Here is a 22,917-nt window from a genome sequence, read left to right as displayed (position 1 = left end):
GACCTGTCCCCAGTCTTAAGGAAAAATCATTCAGTCATCACCATATAGTATACAGATATAAACATATATCCTAAGTTCTTTTATTCCTAATTGTATGAGTTTTGGTCAGAAATAGATGTTGGATTTCATCGAATGCTCTTCCTGCATCTCTTGAGAAGAATATTTTAAAAATATTCTATAGCAGATTACTTGGATTGGATTTTAATAGTGAATCAGCCTTGTTTTTATTGGACATAATGAATCATCCTACATGGGGAGATGTTCAATTTGATGTCACAATATTTTGTTGATATTTTTTCATATATGTCCATGACTGATATTTGTCTATAGTCTTCTTTTCTCTCCATATCATTTTTTGGTTTTGGTGTTATTGTAATGCTGGCCTTATAAAATGAGTTGGGAGTGCTCCCATCTCATCTATTTTCTCTAAAAGATTGTGTACAGTCAAAATTATTTATCCTTCAAATATTTGATAGAAATCAGTAGTGAAAGAACATGTGACTAGATTTTTTGGTAGGTTTTATTTACAAATGCAATTTCTTAATTAATACAGGACTATTTGTTACCTGTTTCTTCTTCAGTGAGACTTGGTAGTATGTGTTGTGTCTCTAGAGGAATTTATTTTTTTCATCTCATCTATTAGATTTGTGTGCATAAAATTATTTTTAGCTTTACTTATTTATGGTATAGTGTGTATTGATAGCTTGTCTTTCAGTCCTGCTGTTAGTAATCTGTAGTCTCTCTTCTCTTTCCCTTTTTCTCTCTTTGGTTTTGAATTTCACTTATTTCTGCCCTAATTGTTATTAGCTCCTTTCTTTAGTTCCTTAGATTTAAGTTGTTGTTCTTTCTCTACGTTCCTAAAGAAGAATCTTAGGCTACTGAGGTGAGATTACTCTTTTCAAAGAACCAACTTTTAGCTACGTTTATTTCTTCTACTGCTTTCCAACCTTCTATTTTATTGATTTATGCTCTAATCTTTATTATTTCTTTACTTCTGCTAGCTTCAGATTTAGTTTTCTCTGGTTTTTATACTGCCTTTTAGGTGTAGAGTGAGGTTACTGATTTGAGCTTTTTTTAAATGTAGTTGTTTATGTCCATACATTTTCCTTCAAACTCTACTTTCACTGCAGTCACTAAGTTTTGGTATGTTTTGTTTTTATTTGTCTTAAGATACTTTATAATTTCACTTATGATTTATTCTTTCACTGGTAGTTTAAGAGTGTATTGTTTAATTTCTACATATTTGTGAATTTTTCAGGTTTCATTTTTTATTTATGTTTCCTCCATTGTGGTTGTAAATTATATTTTGTATGATTTAAAACTTTTGTAAATGATTAGGACATATTTTTGTGGACGAAGATATGACCTATCCTAGAGAAAGTTCCATATCCACTTAAAAGGAATGTATATTCTGCTGTTTTTGGGTGGACTGTTCTGTATATGTGTATTAGCTCTAAATGGCTTATACTGTTGTTCAAGTCTTCTATTTCTCATGAAGCTTCTGTCTGGTTTTTCTATCCATTAATTAAAATGAGGTATTGAAGTGTCCAACTACTATTATAGAACTGTGTGCTTATCCTTTCAATCCTGTTCATTTTTTTTCAGCTTTACTGAGGTATATTTGAGAAATAAATATTGTACATATTCAAAGTTTACAATGTGATGTTTCTATCTACATGCGCATTTTGAAATGATTACCAAAATGAAGTCAATTAACATATTAATTACCTCGCATAATAGTTACCTTTTTTGTGTGCATGCATGGGATAAGAATACTTAACCATAACCCTAGTGACTGCAGAGTGGCCATTCCAGCTGCTCCAGGCTCCGGCAGAGGAGGAGCGGGGCGGGTGGCACCACCAGGGGGGCCCTCAGGCCTGGCACGCACGCATTTCGGAGGCTGCCCAGGCCAAGGTGCAGCTGCCCTCTGCCCTGTGTGTGCAGGTAGCAGCCGCCTGTCAACTCCCGAGCCCGGTCGCGCTGCCAGCGTCGCAGAACCGGGGTCAGATGTCCCGGCGGCTGCACAGGAGTGAGAACTGAGAACCTGCCGCTCAAAGCCATCACAGGTGACTGCGGAGTCCCCATGCCAGCAGCTCCTGTCTCCCTGTGGTGGAAGAGCCGGGCGGGATGCGCGGCTTGGGGCTTCTCAGCCTGGGCGCCCTGGCGATCCGCAGGCCTCCCGGGCCAGGCCCCTCCAGCCCGCCTGGGCACCCAAGCTGCAGCCACCCTCTGTGTGCAGGCAGCAGCCTCTGGGGAACCTCTAAGCCCGCCTGCACTCGTAACATCTCAGAACCGGGGACAGATGTCCCGGTGGCTAGAGCCAAGCCAGATGGTCTGCCCGATGGCGGCTACACAGGGCCGAGAACCTGCCACTTAATCCCATCCCCGGTGGCTGCGGAGGGCCCCTGGCCAGCGGTCCTGAGCTCTGGCAGAGGCGGGGGCAGGGCCTGGCGGGCTCTCAGGCTCGGTGTACTCGCGATCCAGAGGCCGCCCAGGCCATGTTCCACTGCCTGGACACCCAAGCTGTAGCCGCCCTCCGCCTGCAAGCAGTAGCTGCCTGGCAACTCCCAAGCTCGCTCGCGCTCCCAGCATCGCAGAACCAGGGCCAAATGTCACCGTGGCTGCGGCCAAGCCAGGCGGTCTGCCCGGCGGCGGCTGCAGAGGGGCGAGAACTGAGAACCTGCCGCTCAACCCCATCTCTGTAGGCTGCGGAGTGGGGTCCGGACTCCCTCGGACGGCCTGGCCAGCAGTTCTGAGGTCCGGCAGAGGAGGAGGGCAGGAGGCACGGCGAAGGGTACGGACTCTCAGGCCGCGCGCGCTCGCAATCCCAAGACTGCCCAGGCCATGCCCCGCTAGCCCTGGGCGCCCAAGCTGCAGCTGCTTTTTTGTTTGTTTTTCTTTTTGCAGGCAGCAGCTGCCAGGCAACCTCCAAGCCCGCCAGCACCCCCAGCCTCGCAGAACTCGGGCCAGTGTCGCCGTGGCTGCAGCCAAGCCCGGCGGTCGGCCTGGCGGCGGCTGCACTAAAAACAAAAACTGGCCTCAGCCCCATCCCCGGTGGCTGCGGAGGGCCCCTGCCAGCGGCCCTATCTTTCTTCAAAGGAGGAGCAGGGCGGCCAGAGCGGCCGGGAGGGCTGCGCGCCTGCGATCCTACGGCGTCCCAGGGGAGCCCAAGAGAACCGGTGAGCCAGCGGCGCCTGCGCCCAAGCTGTAGCCGCCCCTTGCGGACCGCGCCACTTGGGAGAGGCTTCCGGAGTCCCCGCGGGCGCTGAGCTGCAAGCGTGCGCATACAGGCTTCGCTTGGCTTACTCGGTCTGAGAGGTCGGAGGCTGCCAGTGTTGCTGCTGAAGGCTGTTAAAACCAGCTACACAACCATCTGAAAGCCATTTTCCTCCCTCTGGTTAAAAACAGTCATATGTCGCTGGGCGCGGTGGCTCACGCCTGTAATCCCAGCACTCTGGGAGGCCGAGGCAGGCGGATCACGAGGTCAGGAGATCCAGACCATCCTGGCTAATACGGTGAAACTCCGTCTCTGCTAAAAAATACAAAAAATTAGCCGGCCGTGGTGGCGGGCGCCTGTAGTCCCAGCTACTCGGGAGGCTGAGGCAGGAGAATGGCGTGAATCCAGGAGGTGGAGGTTGCAGTGAGCTGAGATCACGCCACTGCACTCCAGCCTGGGCGACAGAGCGAGACTCCGTCTCAAAACAAACAAACAAACAAACAAACAAACAAAAAAAAACCAGTCATGTGTCTACTGATGATGTAGTTAAGGCTGTGTCTAGATCTCTCTCTCAGCAGGGACGTGGTTTCTCAAATGCGAATGTTTGACCGGCAAAAGTTTTGCAGCCAGAGCCTGTGCAAGTATTGGCAGATTGAAAATACAAAATCAAGGCACTTCTCACGCCTAGCTTTTTTTTTTTCTTTTTTGAGACAGAGTCTCACTGTGTTGCCCCAGGCTGCAATGCAATGGTGCGATCTTGGCTCACTGCAACCTCCGCCTCCTGGGTTCAAGCGGTTCTCCTGTCTCAGCCTCCTGAGTAGCTGGGATTACAGGCATGAGCCACCATGCCCAGCTAATTTTTGTATTTTTAGTAGAGATGGGGTTTCACCACGTTGGCCAGGCTGGTCTGGAACTCCTGACCTCAGATGATGCGCCACCTTGGACTCCCAAAGTGTTGAGATTTCAGGCGTGAACCACCGCGCCTGGCTGGAAACTATTTTTGTTTTGTTTTGAGACAAGAACTCACTCTGCCGCCCAGGCTAGAGTGTAGTGGCATGATCAAACTCACTAAAGCCTCGACCTCCTGGGCTCAAATAGTCCTCCCCCACCAGCCCCAGAGTAGCTGGGACTACAGGTGTGTGGTACCATGGCTGGTTAATTTTTTTTTTTTTTTTTAATTTTGAGACAGAGTCTCACTCTGTTGTCCAGGCTGGAGTGGAATGCTGTGATCTCGGCTCACTGCAACCTCCACCTCCTGGGTTCAAGCGATTCTCCTGTCTCAGCCTCCTGAGTAGCTGGGATTACAGGTGTGTGCCACCATGCCCGGCTAATTTTTGTATTTTCAACAGAGACGTGGTTTCACCTCGTTGGCCAGGCTGGTCTTGAACTCCTCGGCTCAAGCGATTCACCTGCCTTGGCCTCCCAAAGTGCTGGGATTACAGGTGTGAGCCACTGAGCATCTGATGTCAAAAAGATTAATAAATGGTGCCTCCTGAGTGGCTGGGATTGCAGGCATGTGCCACCATACCCCATTAGTTGTTTAGTTTTTATTTTTTTTGGTAGAGACAGGGTTTCTCCATGTTGGTCGGGGTGGTCTGGAGCTCCTCCCTCAGGTAATCCGCCGGCCTCGGCCTCCCGGGGTGCTGGGATTGCAGGCGTGAGTCACTGCGCCTGGCCCGAAACCCGGTCCCATAACGGAAAAACAAAACAAAAACCACAAAGATTAGCCGCCCCACAGGTAGTCCCAGCTGCTCCCAAGGCTGACCTAGGAGGATTGCTTGAGCCCGGGGGTGGAGGTGGCAGTGAGCCATGATGGCGCTGCTGCAGTCCAGACAGAGCAACAGAGAGGGACTGTGTCTCAGGAAACGGGAGAGGAAAAAAAAAAGTATACAAAAGTGCTAAATCAAGGAACAGCTTGACAGTATATTATTGAGAGACAAAGAGGCAAAGGTTAGCAGACACCGATGTTCGCTTAGTGGAACTGCAGGTGTCCCCCACAGGAGGGTGCCACTTTTCCAAAAGAAATGTATTATTGACAAAAAAAAAAAAGTTGTAGGTTTGTTACAATATACAAATAGCTAAACTTTATATAGCCACGACCCTCTTCTAGCACTGCTCTAAGCCTTTTCCTGCTCTGGAATAGCTACTATTGTTACCTCCATTGTAGAGAAAACAGATGGGGGAGGTTGTTGTGGAAGGACCAGGGAAACTGACTAGGAAATTGACTTGTAAGTTGAGGACTTAAAGGTTCTTCCTGCTTTGCTCCTTACATTGCCACATTTTAGTTAACATACCTCTTAAAATACTGATCCTTTCTGTATTTGGAGGGACTCCTCTTGCAGTTTGAAGTTTTTTCTTACACTAAGCATCTGGTTAGAAGATCATCTCCATTTTATGTCAGTTTAAGTTTAGACATTGTTCAGTAAGGAATGTAAATATGAGCAAACAGTTATCTGATTGAAATAGATAAACTAGAAAAAAAATCACCTATGAGAAAGTCAACAAAATGTCAACTCTGGATTTGTGGCTATTTTCAGAATATTAATTTTTTGATATTTAATGGCATTGTGAATATATTTATTTTTAAGAATTCCTTGTCTTCTACAGATACATATAAGGTAATTAAAAATGATAGGATGTATAGGTTTTACTTCAAAATAATTCAGAGGAAGAAGGAATGTATATAAATGAAGTGGGAATATAAATGAAACAAAACTGGCTGTGGCCAGGTGTGGTGGCTCACGCCTGTAGTCTCAGCACTTTGGGAGACCGAGGCAGGTGGATCACCTGAGGTCAGGAGTTCAAGACCAGCCTGGCCAACGTGGTGAAACACCATCTCTACTAAAAATACAACAATTAGCCGGATGTGGTGCCGGGTGCCTGTAATCCCAGCTACTCGGGAAGCTGAGGCAGGAGAATCGCTTGAACCTGGGAGGTGGAAGTTGCAGTGAGCCAAGATCATGCCACTGCACTCCAGCCTGGGCAACCACAGCAAAATCCCACCTTTAAAAACAAACAAACAAACAAAAAACAACCAAAAAAAAAAAACTGTCCATACCATGAATGAAAAATTGTTGATGATGTGTATATGTAGGGCAATTATATCATTTATTATATATAATATATATATTATTTTTCTCAACTTTTTTTTACATCTGAAACTTTCTATTGAACACATGGACATGTCCCTTGATAACTGGGGCTGCTTCCCCATTATTCTCTCAGCAGCCCTTCTGATTTTCACTCCATCTTCATTCTTAGAGATTCTGGATTTTATTTTTTTTTTTGGGGAAGTTCAAGTATGTCTTTGCAAGGATTATCCAGCATGTCTACCTACTCAATCATATTATCAGAAACAGAAAAAGTGTCCAGATTCTTGTCTTGTCCTGTTCAGATTTTTTAAATTCCAAGAACAGTCACCTTCTACCAGACACTCTGATGTTGGAAGACAAAGCATATTTGGTAAGTGGCATGATTTCTGGGCTCCGATTTAGAACAGTCACAGCTTTCAACAATCCAAAAATAGCTGACTGTGACTCACCATATTTAGAAAGATGGAGATTATTAAAAAAAGAAAACCTTAATTTATTGTGTGACCGCTAAGTGTCTCGGCTGAAAATTGTAAAGATAGAAAGGTAAATCAAAAGATACAGAGACTGTAATCATGCACTTAATAAAGCGCTAAATCAAAATATATTTGGCATATGTGAAAGAGTTTAATTTTATCCCATTTTCTACTGGCACTATAGGTATTTGTAAGTACATATAAAACTACAGTGTTACATATAAACTACCAAAAAGGAACTTAAGAAACGAGACTAATCTAGCAACTTTATTTAAAAGTTTATCTTAAGGGAATAATTAAGGATGTCCATACAAAAGGATTTAGCCATGACACGAGAATGTTCTTCCTGGCAAATCAATGGAAATTATTAAATGTGCAAAAGGGAACTGTTGGAATAAATTCTAATGCTTTCATATGATCCTATGTCGTAACCTTTTAAAATGATATTAAAGAGTTGCATACATTGACTTAAACAGATATTCATAACACATCACTGAATAGGAGAAATACGGGCCAGCAAAGAACATAGAGTTGGTCCAATTTCTACAAAAAAAAGAAGACTAATAGCAAGACAGCAGGGAAGGGGGAATATGTCAATGTATGTGTGTATATATATGTATGCATAGCAAGTATGAACTTGAAAGGATATATATCAAATTGTTTACACAGATTACCTCAGAGAGGTAAATAACTGGCCTTTGGTGTTCTGTGTTCCATAGATTCTGAATTTTCTTTTTTTATTTAAATAGAGATGGGATCTTAGCCAGGAGCAGTGGCTCACACCTGTAATCCCAGCACTTTGGGAGGCTGAGGAGGGCGGATTGCTTAAGGCCAGGAGTTCAAGACCAATCTGGCCAACATGGCAAAACTCTGTCTCTACTAAAAATCCAAAAATTAGCCAGGCGCAGTGGCTTATGCCTATAACCCCAGGTACTCGGGAGGCTGAGGCATAAGAATTGCTTGAACCAGGAGGCGGAGGTTGCAGTGAGCAGAGATTGCACCACTGCACTCCAGCTTAGGCAACAGACCGAGACTCTGTCAAAAAATAAAAACAAAACAAAACACCACCACCAACAACAAAACAGTAATAAAGAGAAAATCTTATGGACAGGAGCAATGTCTCATGCCTGTAACCCCAGTGCTTTGGGAGGCCAAGATGGGAGAATCGCTTGAGCCCAGGAGTTCAAGACCAGCATGGGCAACATAGCAAGACCTTTTCTCTACAAAAAATTTAAAAATTAGCCAGGCATAGTAGTGCATGCTTATACTCCCAGCTACCTGGGAGGCTGAGGTGGGAGGATCACTTGAGCATGAGAGTTGGAGGTTGCAGTGAACTGTGATCACACCACTGGGAAGCCATGACCCCATCCCTGCCTTCTTCCTCTGTCCTATGCTAGCAATAAGTAAGTTTCCCAGCCACAAATAATTATTAGAACCTCCTCCCCATGTGCCACCTCCAACCACCGCTAGGTATGATACAGGGGTGGCCCTACCCTCTGGAATATACAAAACCTTACACAGACACAATATATACACCGGGGAAGGGGGGCCACCCCAGCAGCCCATGCCTTCACCTGGTCCACAGTTAGCCCCACTGTCCTGCCTCAGCTACCTCTCTGAATAAGAAGATTCGAGCCCCCACTGAGGGAAAAGTTGCTATGGTGAGAGTAAGGAGGCCATGAGGCCTCCTCCAAACAAACCAACTCCACCAGCCTCTGGCTCTTAAATAACAATATCATCCAGAAATTTAAGGACTCAGCTCTGGTCAAGGTGGCAAAGGGTCTGTTTGTCTTTCCTCGTTAGACAGTGGTCTTGTCTTGCTACCCTAATTGTAAAGGGGTGACTGGGAAGGGGAGATAGGGACAGTGTGGTGGTGGAGAGACCCCAGCCCCACTTCTCCAGGCTTTGCTGACAGGGGCCTGCTTTTAATTTTAATTTTTATTTTTATCCCATGCCTTTTTTTTTTAATCCCATAACTTCTTTTTCATAACTTTTTTTGGTAACTTTTCATAAAACTTTCTTCTACTTTTTGGTCACAAGATTTTTTTGCCACAACTTTTTTACATTTTTTATCCCATAACTTTTTCACCCCATAACTTTTGTTAATCCCATAACTTTTTTATTTTGTGTTCTTTTAATAAACCCTTGCATAGTTATATTACAATTTTGTAAAAATGAAACATTATCTCATGCCAAGCATGCTCAGCATTTGCACAGTATCAATACCTTTAATACTATATTTTTCAAGACACACAGAATAAAATTTTAAGGCAAAAACAGCACTTTGCAACAACTTAATAATTTATTACATTACAGTATCATCACACCAGCAGTCAATAATGCCACTTTAGGCAAAAGTCTTTCAGTATTTCCGTTTTACATTCCGCTTACAAGAATTCATAAATTGGTAAAATTCATTCTAAGAAAACTTGGCAAATAAAGCTTTGGACTGGAATTGGCATTTCTTTCTCTACTTTTCCTTCCCACCATTTATTTCCTTTACAGTATTCATATTTTAAAATGTTTTAACTTATTTCAGAACATTAAGATAGCAGTTACATTGTTTAATAGTTATTTTAAAATGACTCTTTCAGATAAAGTTTTAGAGAAACTATAGTATGGATAGGGCTGATTTACATTTTCAAATTTTCTAAAAATCAGCTTTGGTTTTAGAGCTGATTTTTGTTCATTTCTGGAAAACCTATCAGATTTAATCCAATACTTTAAAAATGATTATTATATATTGCACTCTTTAAATCGGTGATTTGATTCTTCCTACAGAAATTCAAATTTATTGAATTGAACTCACATTTTAGAATTCTGTTTCTGATGAACTCTAACCTTCCAATGTTGCCTTCTAAGCAAATTGAAAGCTGCCTTATACCGAATGAGGAAGAATACCAATACTTGGCTGAATGAGGTATCGCAAAAGACTGCATGCACTTTGAAGAAAGACTTAAGTTATAGTCATGCGATTTCCATTCTTTTTAGCTTTTTCTTAAATATACGACAAATATCTACACAAAGAGTGGTATTTCTGTTAATACAGTCAATTTATTTTCCAGATTGACATTCAGCTTAAATATGCCAGTATGTGATTTAATCCATAGGCACCTGATGAACACATTATTGTCAGATTGGTTACAGATGCTCGTAGTTGTCTTTAAACTGAACTCAAAGAATGCAAAAACATCAAGTTCAGAAAATAAAAGGCAAGGACAGGACTTTAAGTGCATTTTAAAGCCACGGGCTAGAAATCGTACCACTGTTAACTAGCCGCATTATTTGGTCTAACATTTTTTCTTTATCATTCTGAAACTGGGTTTATCTAATACATTGATACATTCATACAATTTGGAAGAGTCCGTTGAAGTCACAAGGACCCGATATTTGCACTCTTTCAGTGATTGCCGGCAAATCTGTTATTCCATCGGCAAAATCGTACTGCTGCTCTCCTGTTAATGTCGTATTTATAAAAGTATCATGAGGATGCCAAATGCTAAAAATGGAGATGGTCTAGTAACTAGAAATCCCCACCCCAGGGAGCACACATACATATCTCCCTACATCCTAATAATGTGATGTGTTTTGGAACACAGACATTAGAACTTCATGAAGTTTTAACTGTTGAGTCTTTCCCAAGCATCATCAAGTTATGATTTAGGCAATGTACAACTGAAATTCATTCATTCATCATGCATAGGCACAATCACATAACTACTGCACAAAATATGCCCGTAAGTGAAACCCAGAGGTACAGAAACACATTTCACTCTTCACAAAGAAGTTTGTGAGGAAATATAACTCTGTGATTGTATAGACATGTTTCCTGATAATACACTGACATTCACCAACAGTAGATTGCACTGCAGTTTGTACACATTTTAAGTTGCATAAACTTCTCCTTGATTTTCAAAGATAGTATAATACTGTCTACTAAAACTCCTTTTTGTTTCAACTAAGCACTCTCACATATATTAGTTTATAACAATGTTTATTATTATTTCAAAGTGTTTTCCATTCAAGGAAAAGAAGTCAATTCCTATGTCAAAGTAACCAAGGTGGTTGAAGAATAGGCAGAGTGGTCTAGATGGTAAAATCAATCTTCAAGCCTCAAAGAAGCTCCATGAACAGAGGAATGCCAGGTGTCACACAGCTTTCCTTCACTCTAATTCATTCTTGACTAGAGCCTGTATGCGTGTTCCAGGGACATTTAAACTCTTAAAGGATTTCTTCTGATCTTTACTAAATACATTAAGAAGAATGCCAACCAGTGCCCTTTTGTGTACTGGGACATGCAGTCATGTGATTAAAACAGGTAACATGAACTCTGACTTTAAAATATAGATACAAATGCTCTAAGCTAGGAAAGGTTTTCCACATCCATAGTCAATGATGGGAACCTTTCATTCCTCAGAAATAAGCCCTTTTTAGGTCATCAAAAAAGAGTACAACTGCTGCAGCTCATGATGCAATATCTTCATGAGCCCAGAGCACATACAAATCCTAAAGGAACTACAATAGTACAGCACTAATTCTTGGCAACAGAACAAATGAAACACACTCTATCTTGCACATACCTGCCAGAGCAGGCAACTTTCCTCTTCTGTGAAATTTAAAAAGCTCCCCCAAAATGTTATTACTCCCATCACCAATACACAGAAAATGAGGGAAAGGCTGTTTCCAGTTCTCGGCCTTTAAACAACTCTAAATGTCAGTACTCTTGGTGGCATATTACAAAGTATTAAATAGTGCACACTTGGGGCAAACCACATATTGTGCTAATGAAGAGCTCACTGTGATTAAGATTAGATCAAACAATAGCAGAACATAGGCAAATTTTATCTGAATTCTGTAATGAATATACATGCTGCAATAACATTAAAAACACATGGCAGCCTATTCCAAACCAGCAAGAATAGTTTTGTGCAAATAGTGGGTCTTTGTGTGTTTGAACTCCCACCACGTAAGGGCAAACTCAATATGCATGCTAATAACCTACAATCATGAAATTGAAAAAGAAAATTGCGAAAGTATGCCAGAGTGAACATCAGTGAAAGCCACAGAGACCCACTCTCTTTTAACTATTTACAAATAAACTTAAACTATAAATTAGAAACACAAATAATCATAAGTGGCTATAACATTCAAACGAAGTAAATGAATTGTGTAGGAGATTAACCCCATAACTTTGTTTCTTTTTTAAAAATTTCTTGAGCAGCTCTTTGACGATGGTCATGTTTATCTCCTTCTTCTTGGCGGCCAAGCCCAGCAAAAGAATGGCACACAGCAGTTGCTGCCCAAGCCTGGGTGCTCCTGGTGGTCCTGCACGATCGGCTGTGCAGTAGGCTTGTCGTGGGGAGAACCCTCCCTGGCCTCTCCTTGCACAGGCTCCACGCTGTCAGTGAGGCTCACCTCACAAAGATCTTTGGAGAGAGGGAGGTGGGGATCTGAGCTCAGTGAGAGCCCCCCTGCTCCTGCCTGCCCACCCCGCCTGAGGGCTCTACTCACCACCATGCTTGTGGGCAGCCCCAAGCTCCTGGGGGGCTGGGGCTCCTGGACTGGGCTCATGAGCAGGGTTCTGGGCAGTCACCAAGAATTTGCTGTGTCCCTTGTAGTCGCCACCAGCTGCAACACCATCTCCTGCAGCTCCAGCAGCTTCACCTGGAGGGAGGGGTGCTCAGCTGTCACGCTGCTGCCAGCGCTCACCGTCACAGCCACCCCCACCCCCGCAGAGATGTTGCACACTCTACCTTCATCTCCTCCCTGTCCAGGGCCAGCCTGATGGTGTCCTCCTCCCGGTGCTGCATCTTTGGCACTGCCCCCTGGCTTTGTTATAGGGTGATAAACTTTCCTGCGGGAGGACAGGGCTCAGACGCTGGGGCCCCTCCAACAGCCCTGCAGCTCCCCCTGCCATGCCCTGGCCTCCCACTCACTGATGGCATCTCTCTCTGTAGTACTGGAAGAATCCAAGTTCTTCTTTCTCCACCAGCTCACTCAGGTCTGCCTTCTCCTCCAGGTGGTCCATAAAGCCGCTCTGGAGCCAAAATAATGGGGTCACATCTCGGCAGCGACCTGCCCTCAGGTGGCATTTTCAAGTCATGGAGAAGGCGGAGGTGAGTTCCGGCATGGGCCAGCTTCTCCATGACTTCCTGCAGGGCCCGGTGGGTCTCCCCACTCACAGACTCGCCCCCAGGCCCTGGGGCTGGGACCGCTGCCTCTGGCTCCTTCTGGGCCGAGGCCACCGGGTGAGCCAGGCGCTGGCAGCACACCCTCTGCTCTTTCACCTGCTCTTGTAACTGTGCCTGCTTCTCCTGGGCACTAGCTCCAGCGGACTTGAAAAATGCCACCTGAGGGCAAGATGTGAGCATTCTTCTAGGGGCATACACAGAAGAAATGGGGCAGAGAGGTGGAGCGCAGCCCCTTCCCTTGGGGCCTCAGAGAGTGCACCTGTTGGCCACAGGTGAAATGGTGTCTGACCACTGGCTCTCGGAAGGGGTGAGGGTCCAGAGAAATCAGAAGGCAGGGAAACGAAGAGCATAAAGGGGTCTTGGAGGGACCACAGAGAAAGGTGGCAAAATGGGTGCAGGGGGAGTCAGGCTCACCATGGCCTCCCTGCTCTCCAGGTCCTCTGGGACACTCGGCATGGGCCGAGGTGCCTCCTCCCCCTCACTGTCCAGATGTTCTCCTCCGTGTCCTGTTGGGGGTGGCCAGAGGGGTCTTCAGACAACTCAACAAGGGAAGTATTGTGGGCCCACCTCTGCCTCCACCCTCATTGTGTAACCCTGAGCCAGGCCCTCCCCAGAGAGGAATGAGCTGCTGTTATTTATTTTTACTTTGAAGAACCAAGATCTTGCTATACTGCCCAGGCACATTCCCACTACTGGTCGGTGTGGGAGTTCTGACCTGCTCCCTTTCTGACCTCGGCCAGTTCAGCCATCCTTAGGCAACTTGGTGGCCCCCCGCTCCCAGGAGGTCACCATATTGATGCTGAACTTAGTGCAGGCACCCGGTTAGTATAATGACCAGCTGTTCTAAAGGTCTCTTCCAACTCCTCAATCCTATGCTGCTAGCAGTCCCCCCTTCCTCCTGGGGCTCTCTCCTCTTCCTCTGAGCGGTCTCCCGTACCTTCCCCAGGGAGAGCCATGAGGCTCAACTGGGCCGTTAGCTGCTGTTTCTGCTGGCTGGCAGCTTCCAGGCGCTCCTAAGGGGCCAGGAAAGAGTGAGAAGGCACAGAGTTTGCCAGGTCGTCCCCCTCACGGCCCCATCCTCGGCAGCTCCCTCCCCTGGGCCTCCTGCAACTTTTGGCAGGCCATCTCGGCCACCGCTTTGCCCCAAGCTTCCTGCTGCTGCAGCTGGTTCATTAGCTGGGTCTGCTGCAGTCACTGCCTGTACAGCGCCTCCTTCTCACAGGTCAGCTGCTGATAGGCGGCCACCTGCTGCTGATAGGTGGCCACGTACTGCTGCAGGTGACCCAGGTAATGGTCTGGCTGCTGCTGCAGACTCTGAGCCTCTTGGCTCTTCAGCTCCACCTGCAGGAAGACCCTGGGTGTGAGGGCACGTGGTGGCTGGTTTCCAGATTCTGGGCCCATTAATAGGGTAGCGAGGGCACTGTGGGGCTCTGTCGCCTGCCCAGGCCCCTGGCCCCTTACTCCAGGCCTAAGTGACTGCCTCCCTTTCCTAGAACCCCATGCCTCCTTCCCCAGCCTCAAATCTCATGTCCTCTTCCCACCATTTCAACTGTAGGCCACAGAATGGTAGAAAAGTAGTGGGAGCCAACCACCATCTGCTAAATGTGCTACAGGCCTAATGCTTCCCATGTATTATCTCATTTAATCCTCAGCACCTCTGTAAGGAAAATGCTAACTTCCTTTTGAAGTTAAAGAAACAGAGACTTAGAGATGCGAAGTACTTGAATGGTGACCAGTGGAACTGAGGCTGGAATCCAGTTTTAATCTAAGGAGTCTTTTTGTTTTGTTTTGAGACAGAGTGTCACTCTGTGGCCCAGGCCGGAGTGCAGTGGTGCAATCTCAGCTCACTGCAACCTCCACCTCCTGGGCTCAAGCAATTCTCGTGCCTCAGCCTCCTGAGTAGGTGGGATTACAGGCATGCGCCACCACCATGCCCCACTAATTTTTCTTCCTTTTTTTGTTTTTTGTTTTTGTAATTTTAGTAGAGATGAGGTTTTACCATGTTGGCCAGGCTGATCTCAAACTCCAAACCTCAAGTGATTCTCCTGCCTCAGCCTCCCAAAGTGTTGGCACTATAGGCGTAAGCCACCGCGTCTGGCATAAGAAGACTGTTATACCACTCTGTCTCTTCCCCTGTGATTGGGGGTGCTCCATGTCTCTAGCTGGAATGATGATGTCCAGACCTGGGAGGAGCCCAGGGCTACCCACCTCTAAAATCAGAGGGCAGGAAGCAAGAAACAGCCACAGGACTGCCCTGGAGGGTGCTGGGGTCACCTGCCCCCGGGCTGGAGCTGCCTCTGGCCTGGCACCTCCCCTCCCCAGAGGCTGGTGCCCACCTCCCAGACCTTCTTGGATGGGGTGGAGGTTACCGTCTCCTTCACCTTGCCTAGCTTCTCCTGCAGCTCCTTTACTTGCTGCTCCAACTGTAGTACGCTCTTGTTCTCATTGTTCTGGACAGAGAGAAGCAATCAGCAGCCACCCACTGCAGCTGGAGACCCCAGAACTTGGTGACTGCCTCCCATGGCACCGGGAAGGGTGGAGGCAGGTTAGAAAAATCATCCCCTGTCTCCCACAGCCACCAGAGCAGGGCTCTGGCTCACAGGTGCCTTTAGGAGTAACATTTCACTTGAGGGCTACACTGCCACATTTTATAGGTGGGGAAACAAAGGCCTGGAGGGCTAGGGAGGAGGGCAGGCTCCCCAGCTGGGGCAACGCACCAGCTCCTTGAAGCTGTTCTGTGGCTCGGCCAGCTGCTGAAGCCTCTCCTCCTGCTCCCGAAGCCTCTCCTGCTGCTCCTGAAGCCTCTCCTCCTGCTCCCGAAGTCTCTCCTTTTGCCCCTCATTCAGGAGACTTATGCGCTGATTGTACTCCACCTGGGCCTGGAGCGCTCCTGCCACTCTCTCTAGTTCCTTCCTCAGGTGCTGCAGCTCCACCTCAGAGGGCACTGCTGGGGGCTCCGGGGGCAAGGGTTCAGCTGAGAAAGGAAGCAGATAATAAGGGCCTCTGGATTCTCGGAAAAGAAAAACCCTCCTCTTGGCGCACAGCTCCTCTCAGGCTCCTCAAACTTGGCCTCACTGCTAATGATTCCTCGCACCCAGATGGTAGCCAGTCTTCCAAACCACTTTCAGAGAAAGAGCACTGCGGGTGGCTGACAACGGGCCCTCTTTGCTGATGGGGACACTGAGGCTCATTGAGATGACAAGACTTGCCGTCTCCTGGCACAGACCTCTTTCCCTCTGCCTCAAAGCCCTTCCCATCCACCCACCTCGCTGGGGCACTCCAAGCCACCCTCACAGCCCTCTGATGCCAGTCCTGCTGCCAGGTCACGCCAGCCCCATCTTACCCATCTGGTGTTTGAGTTTGGACAAGCTCCTCTCCAGCGTCTCTACCCGATATTTATCATGCTTCTTCTCCTTCTTCAACGAGCAAACCTGCCCAAAGCACAGGGGGAAAGGGCCCTGGAGAGAGGGGCTGGAGGCTGGACATGCTACCATCTCCCTCTCTGCCCCCACCTCCACAAAGCCCAGTCCCAGGACCACCTCTGGCTCTACTATTCCCATTTTACAGGTGCCCAGAAAGATCCAGTGACCTATCTAATGTGGGGGGGCTGAAGGGTCAGATCTCACCTCCTGCGACATTTTTCTCATCCTCTGCTGCCACCGGGCCCTCTCTCCTTTTAGATGTTCAGCATATTCATCCCTCTCTAGCTGGACTTCTTTAAGTGACTCCTTCAACTGCAAGAATGGGCACAGAAATTAGGAAGGGCTGTCACTGGTCCTCACCTGCTCCTGGTTACCTGGGGTCATCTTCCTTCCACATCCCTCCCTCTGAACACCTCACCTGTGTCAGCTGCGCTTTCAGCAGTGCCTGCTCCCGCATGGACTGCTCTAACTTCCACTCCATACGTGCTTTACTGCGGCTGGAGAACTGCTGAAGAGTGAGAAGTTTCAATCTGGGGAGGCCGGGCCATTCCACACAGTGCCCCTTAAAAGGGCCAGGGCTAGGCCCAATATACAACTCGGTCAGTAAAGATCAAGGCATTTCCAAGCCCGTGGTTTGGTTTTTAAAGAACTCAGTAAAGTTGGAAGGGACAGGGAAAGAGATCGAATTTATAGCTGGCTAACAGAGGCCCAGAGAGATCAGATAATATTGCTATTGTTATTACTGTTATTATTACCACTGTTTGAACTTTTATGGAGTGCTTCACCAGATACCATGCTAGCAATCCCATTTAATCCTCGCAACCACCATGGGAGACAGTTACTATGATGACCTCTATTGTGTAGATGAAAAAACATGGAGTATTTGAGGTTAAGTGCTTGCCTAAGATCACTTAGGCAGAGCTGGGATTTAAACACCCAGATCTATCCAATTCTCTAAGCCCATTTTTCTTGCTGGGGGTGGGGGCACAGCTAGGAAGGGGAAAATTAATCTTTTGTTCACTTTTTGAAAGGATAATACATTCACATAGTCCCAGACTCAGAAGGTACAGAAGGGAAGTATCTCCCAGCCACCCTGTTGCTCTCTCCTGAGTTTTTATGAACACTTGCAAACATATTTTATGTATATTATCATAATATGTACACACACACACACGTTTCCTCTCTCTACAGAAATGGTAACATACTAAAGGTACTCTTCTGTACCTTCACAGTACAAGTACCCAATACCCCACTTAGGACTTGGCCAAGACCACAGCCAGGTAAAGGCATGGCAGGCACTTGGCCTCCAAGCTCTACGTCCTGTGCTCTCTCCCCAGAGTGCCCCCCCACTCACCCACAGCAGCTGACTCAGTCCCAAGCTGCCGCTAACAACCATACAAAAAAGCAGTGAGAAATGGCCATGCTGCCTTCTGGGCAGGACACTCCATCCTGCAGAAGGGACCTTTAGGCTCACTCCTCTGTCTGTGAAGCCAGGCTACCAGGGGACGCGGCAGGTGGTTGGACTCACCCTCTCCGCCTTCTTCTTCTGTGTGGCGGTGACAGCAGAGAGAGCCCGCTCTAACTCTCCTTTACGCTGCAATGAATGTTGCAGACGGACGGCCAGATCCTTGGACTCTTCTGTAATGAGAGAGTTGAGATGGGGCCCAAAGGACTCCCCCTGAAGACCTGTCAAAGTCCCAGGTTGAAGGATGACAGGGTACCCAGATTCCCACCTTCAAAGTATCTGAGAGAACGTTTCGTGTGGTACAGGTCCGTATTTAGTTTCCCTTTCTGTATGTTCAATCTCTGGATTTGAACCTTTGGGAGAAAAGCCAAGCAAGTGCTGAAAGAGAAGGAAAGAAACATTCTCCGGAGGACAGGAGAAAACTGCACACTGTCCACTCACCTCTAGCCCCCTTTCAGCTTTCTGTTTCTCGTTGTTTGCTTTCTTTTCCTGTAGGAAGAGGAAGACAGAGATCTAACCAGGCGGAGGCAGAGATGGTACTGCAAGAGACATGTCCCCAGAATGCCACCACTGCCCCTGCCCCGGGACAGGCCCACCCATGGGACCGGGTTATCAGGGACCCTGTGGGGGATGGGGTGGACTCTGGGGGGTGAGCCTTCTTCCCCAGGCTGGGAGTGGGTGAGACGAGACTCGGGGCCTCTACATCTGAGTGTCCCCCAAACCGAGCAGTCATGTCGCGAGCAAACAAAGAAATCATGTTACTTCTTCCAGCTGATGTTCCACTTGTTTCTTCTGTTGTTTCTGTGGGGAGAGTCACATTAAGGTGATGGAGGGTGGCCCCCTCAACTCTATTCCCCAGAGCAGGAAGTGGTAGGCAGGGACCAGGAATGGATTTTAAAGGCAAAGTTCTCAGACCCAGTGGGAACACGAACTGGTAAACTCTCCTCAAGCTCCCAAGGACAGAGGATTTGGGTCTTTGTTGGCTTTTGTCCACAGCCACAGAACTCAAGGTCTGAATCTGGAATCTCTTGACAGGACAGTAACATAAACCTCTAGAGATGGAGTTTGAGAAAGGCCCCCCCTTCTGCCAGCTTGTGATTTAGAAAAGTGCATTCATTCAATAAACATTTACTGAGCACGTACGGGCCAAGTACGGTTCTTCACAGCAGATTTAGGGCGGAAAAGGACAGACAGGAGCCTTTGGCCCTGAGGTTTCCATTCTAGGAGGCCTTTAAATCTCAGACTCTCAGAGCTAACAGAGACCTATGATACTCACTACTTCCTCTGGAAACACGAGCCCAAAAAGGAGAGGTGGCTTGTCCAGAATCAAAGAGCAAATTAGGGACTGAGTCATGGCAGAAATACAGGGCCCCTGACAACCAGTCAGGCTAGCACTTCCCCAAGAGGCAACAATCCCAGGGCGTGTGTAGCAAGGACTCGAGCAGGGGCGTCTGGAGAGGGGAGAGTCAGCAAACAGGGCAGCAAAAAAAGAGCCATGCTGCATGCTCCGGGGTCCCTCCAGGTGAGGCCTGGGTGCCCCAGCTCCCTATTCGCCCTTGGCACCAGGGGCCCCTGTCCCCTTTCTTCAGGGCCCCAAGGAGAAACTAGAGCCCAGGATTGGCAGCGTGGAATCAGGGGACCCCAGTGGACTCTTACCAAAGATTTGATGGTGTTCTTCAGTTGACTGACTTTTACGGACCTCGAGTCTGGGACTACTGCTAGTTCTTGGCACGGGCTCTGAGGCGCATGCAGAGAGGAGGAGGTGGAGGAGGAGTGGGGGGAGAGGTAGAGAGAGCAATCATTAGGGCTGGGGTGTGTGTGGACTGTCTCAGCTGGCAGAGGGGCACCCCGTCCCACCTGGAGGAGGAGGTTGGAGGGCTGCCCTGCAGGGTCACTGCACCTCTGCCCAGAGCCTCTTACCTCCAGATCCTTCAGGGTAGCAGATGATGTAGGGCTCTCCCCGTGGATACCTGTTGCTGACTACAAGAGATGAGAGTGCACATGAAGATGTTCTGTCCCACTCAGTATCTAAGCCCTCTGACTTCTTTTCTTCCCCATCAACTGGCACAATTTTCTTTTCTGCCTATCTTGGACCCTTTGTCCCATAACTCCTTTGTGCCAACTTCTCTCATGGTTCTTATCTCCCCACCACAGCACCCTGCGGCCCTTTCAGTGACTCCTGTGCCAAGTGACTGTTCTCATTGTCCTGGCTTCCCCTTGAGACTGGGGATGAGGAAAATCGAACAGCAATGACCATATCCTGGGTGTTCTGGGTGTTTACAGCAGGCCATGTACTAGGGATTAACATAAAAACAACAATAACAGATCTCATTTAAACTTCACAAATGGAAGTGAAACAATACCACCTCTATTATACAGATGTGAAAAGAGAGGCCCGATGAGGTCAAGCAACTTGCCCTAATTCATATCCCTAGCAGACAAAGAGGCAGGATTCAAACCCAGAATTCTTCACAGGTACCCAACAGTCCATCCACAATCTTAACAATTACCCTCTAGTGCCCCTTGGGTCCCCTGTCCCCAGGAACCTAGTCAGCCAAGACTCACATCTCCAGGTGAGTGGCAACCACCAGAAGTGGCTGTCTCATGGATGCTGCCATTTGTTTTCCTGTTCCTCTTGGCTCCTGCTGGAACACCAGGGCTGTTTCTCTGCCAATATTCTTTTAACTGTCAGAAACAAGAGCAGTAATACTCATGAGAACTATCAGCCCCTGCAGCCACATCCTCCTTTACAGTTTTTATAAAATACTCTTATACACCATCTGATTTAATGACACCAACAACTGTACAAGGTGTTGTCACAATCATTTAGTGACTCAAAGAGATTGATATCATGGCTAGAAAAAAAAAGAAGAAAAGAAAAAGGCGACAGACGAACTTTGAAACTCAGTCTTCTGACTCCAAACTCTGGGGTATTACCAAGAATCAGCAGCTGCCAGGGACCAAAACCAGAGGCAGAGGTAGAAAAGTAAACATTAAGTAGGCAGGAACTGTATGCCATGTGGTTTAGAGTCATACATCCTCACACGTCTGTTAGTGTGAAGAAGTGCACCAGTACCTCTCAAACTCTTATATCAATGTATCCTCATGGCAGAAGGCAGCCTTTCTGTTAAATCTGGGAATTTATCAGAAAGAGGACAACCCAAGCCTCATTTCAGAGAGAGGTCTGGTATACTCTTAGAAACCTATGTGACTGTCATCCCTAAGTACATTAATGTTTTTTCTCTTGATCTCAAGAGAATCAATGGAAACTGATGCTTCAGAAAGATGTCCCATATGTATCCTGTGGCACTCAAAGTACCCCAGGTTTACATAATATGAGGAAGATTCAAGCTGTCAAGTTCAGTTTCCCAAGATCTATTCCACAGAAGATGAGCAAATCTCACTTCACAGACCACTGACTGAAGGGCAGTCTGGTCCCAGAACCATGGAGAATTAGAATGTGAGGTGGAGAACTCACAAAAAATTTGTTAAAATCTCTCTGGAAAGTAGAAGCCTGGGAGAAAACCAAACCAAGTCAAACCCATTCTCCAGTTGCCATCCAGAGGTACTGTCAATGTTTTGAGCTCACAGGGGAAGTGTAGGCTTTTCCCGCTGTCAGTGTTTATGTTAAGGGAGTGAGGCAGCCTGAAACCTCTTGCTCCTAGGTCCCAATCTCCATTCCCCTTCCAGCTGGAAATTTGTGCTGTGACAAGAGGAACCAGAAATGGGGTGGCAATGCTTAGGGGACTGGGTCATAAGATCAAAGGCCAGTCTTGCAGTAATGACAGTTACTGGATGGACCGTGACATCACTACATTCCACTCTTCCTGGTGAGGGGGAGGGACCACATCAGCATGATGTCCGAGTCATCGCTCCATGATAGGGGAGGGAAAAACAGAGCTGGGACCCAGGTCCTTGGAGACACCAGTGCACACAGCCTAGGGAGGTCCACCTTGAGGCAGCAGGAGGGAAGGGAAGAGTCAGCAGCAGGGAGCCCCAGGATTCACCAGCCTAAAGTCACCCAGGGATGACTGGTGAGGGTGGGGTCTGGGGCTGTGGGACCCAGGTCCTTGGAGATGTGAGCCCAAAAAGCCCTGGGAGGTCAAGCTTGGGGTGGCAGGAGATGAGGGCCCAGTAAAGGAGCGGGGATCCCCAGGATTCACCTGCCCAAAGTCACCCTGGGGTGATTGGTGAGGGCAGAGACTGGGCTGCTTGCTGAAGGGGTGGGGCTGACTGGCAAAACTTTGGTGGGGGTAGCCCAGAGGCACCGGTGTGGGGGTCCCAGTCCGGTGAACCTCGGGAGTGGTATGGACTCTGGCAGCAGTCTTGTCGTTGGAGAGGATCTATGGCTGGGTTGGGGGTCCGTGACCTGGTGTGTTTTTACCTTTCTCTTGGCTGCTGCCAATTTACTTTGTCGAGTTTCTTCTGCCATCGCAGGGTGGGGAGGGAGGCGGGCTTGGGGCCACATCAGCAAAATCCCACCAAGCACTGATCAACACCTCCAGTCACCTACCAGGTAGCTGTGCGACTGAGCCAGAGGAGGCGTAACCAGGGATGCAGTAGAAGGCAGAATAGGGGCGTGGCCTTAATGCTCCAAGACCATTGGTTAATGAGAAAGATGAAAGGGAAAGGGGGCGTGGCCAGGCATCATGTGTCCAGAGGGACCTTTGGCTCACGAGGAAAGCTGCCCATGCAACCACTGTCCCCACCCACTCTAAGAGAGGGGAGAGGCCGCCAACTCTGGGAGAGGGGCAGGGCCGGCTTTTGCTTTAAAAGCTTTTAAAAAATATATATGTGTATACTTTATATATATGTGTGTCTGTGTGTGTGTACCTGTGTGTTCCTCCAGAGCTGTCTTCATGATCCAGCTTCTATGCAAGGTCTATGATTTTGGCCTATATTTTTCATAGAGTACAAAAATTACCAGTATTACCTTAACCGAGATACAGATCCTATGAAAATGGAAAATCCATAGCATGCTTGATGATTACTGAAGCAGACTATATTATCCAACATTCCAATAAGATAAAATAATCACAATGACTTCTCTTTTTTGG

The 22,917-nt window shown here is 47.3% G+C and overlaps 2 pseudogenes across 1 annotated transcript, besides 2 other annotated features; both read right to left on the bottom strand.

The window, feature by feature from the left end:
• Positions 2,105-2,692: an enhancer, noted in NCBI's record as "H3K27ac-H3K4me1 hESC enhancer chr15:20787397-20787984 (GRCh37/hg19 assembly coordinates)". NCBI's record gives its function as "activates a minimal SCP1, AML or CMV promoter by ChIP-STARR-seq in primed H9 embryonic stem cells {active_cell/tissue: H9 hESC(primed)}" and the evidence as "EXISTENCE:reporter gene assay evidence [ECO:0000049][PMID:30033119]".
• Positions 9,062-22,416, bottom strand: GOLGA8CP (golgin A8 family member C, pseudogene; annotated as a pseudogene). Its single transcript, NR_027411.2, has 18 exons — positions 22,245-22,416; positions 20,426-20,545; positions 19,781-19,840; positions 19,517-19,597; positions 18,302-18,661; positions 18,129-18,213; positions 17,924-18,033; positions 16,814-16,903; positions 16,600-16,707; positions 16,317-16,404; positions 15,691-15,947; positions 15,343-15,423; positions 13,911-13,986; positions 13,388-13,479; positions 12,719-12,819; positions 12,536-12,636; positions 12,294-12,446; positions 9,062-12,208 (listed from the first exon to the last, which is right to left on the bottom strand). The product of NR_027411.2 is annotated as a golgin A8 family member C, pseudogene (transcript).
• Positions 13,590-13,879, bottom strand: RN7SL759P (RNA, 7SL, cytoplasmic 759, pseudogene; annotated as a pseudogene).
• Positions 13,719-14,219: an enhancer, noted in NCBI's record as "H3K4me1 hESC enhancer chr15:20775869-20776369 (GRCh37/hg19 assembly coordinates)". NCBI's record gives its function as "activates a minimal SCP1, AML or CMV promoter by ChIP-STARR-seq in primed H9 embryonic stem cells {active_cell/tissue: H9 hESC(primed)}" and the evidence as "EXISTENCE:reporter gene assay evidence [ECO:0000049][PMID:30033119]".
• Positions 22,417-22,917: the final 501 nt, after the last annotated feature.

The sequence above is a fragment of the Homo sapiens genome, chromosome 15 (genome assembly GCF_000001405.40).
Source record: "Homo sapiens chromosome 15, GRCh38.p14 Primary Assembly".
NCBI lineage: Eukaryota > Metazoa > Chordata > Mammalia > Primates > Hominidae > Homo > Homo sapiens.
This window is presented reverse-complemented; position numbering and strand designations above follow the sequence as displayed.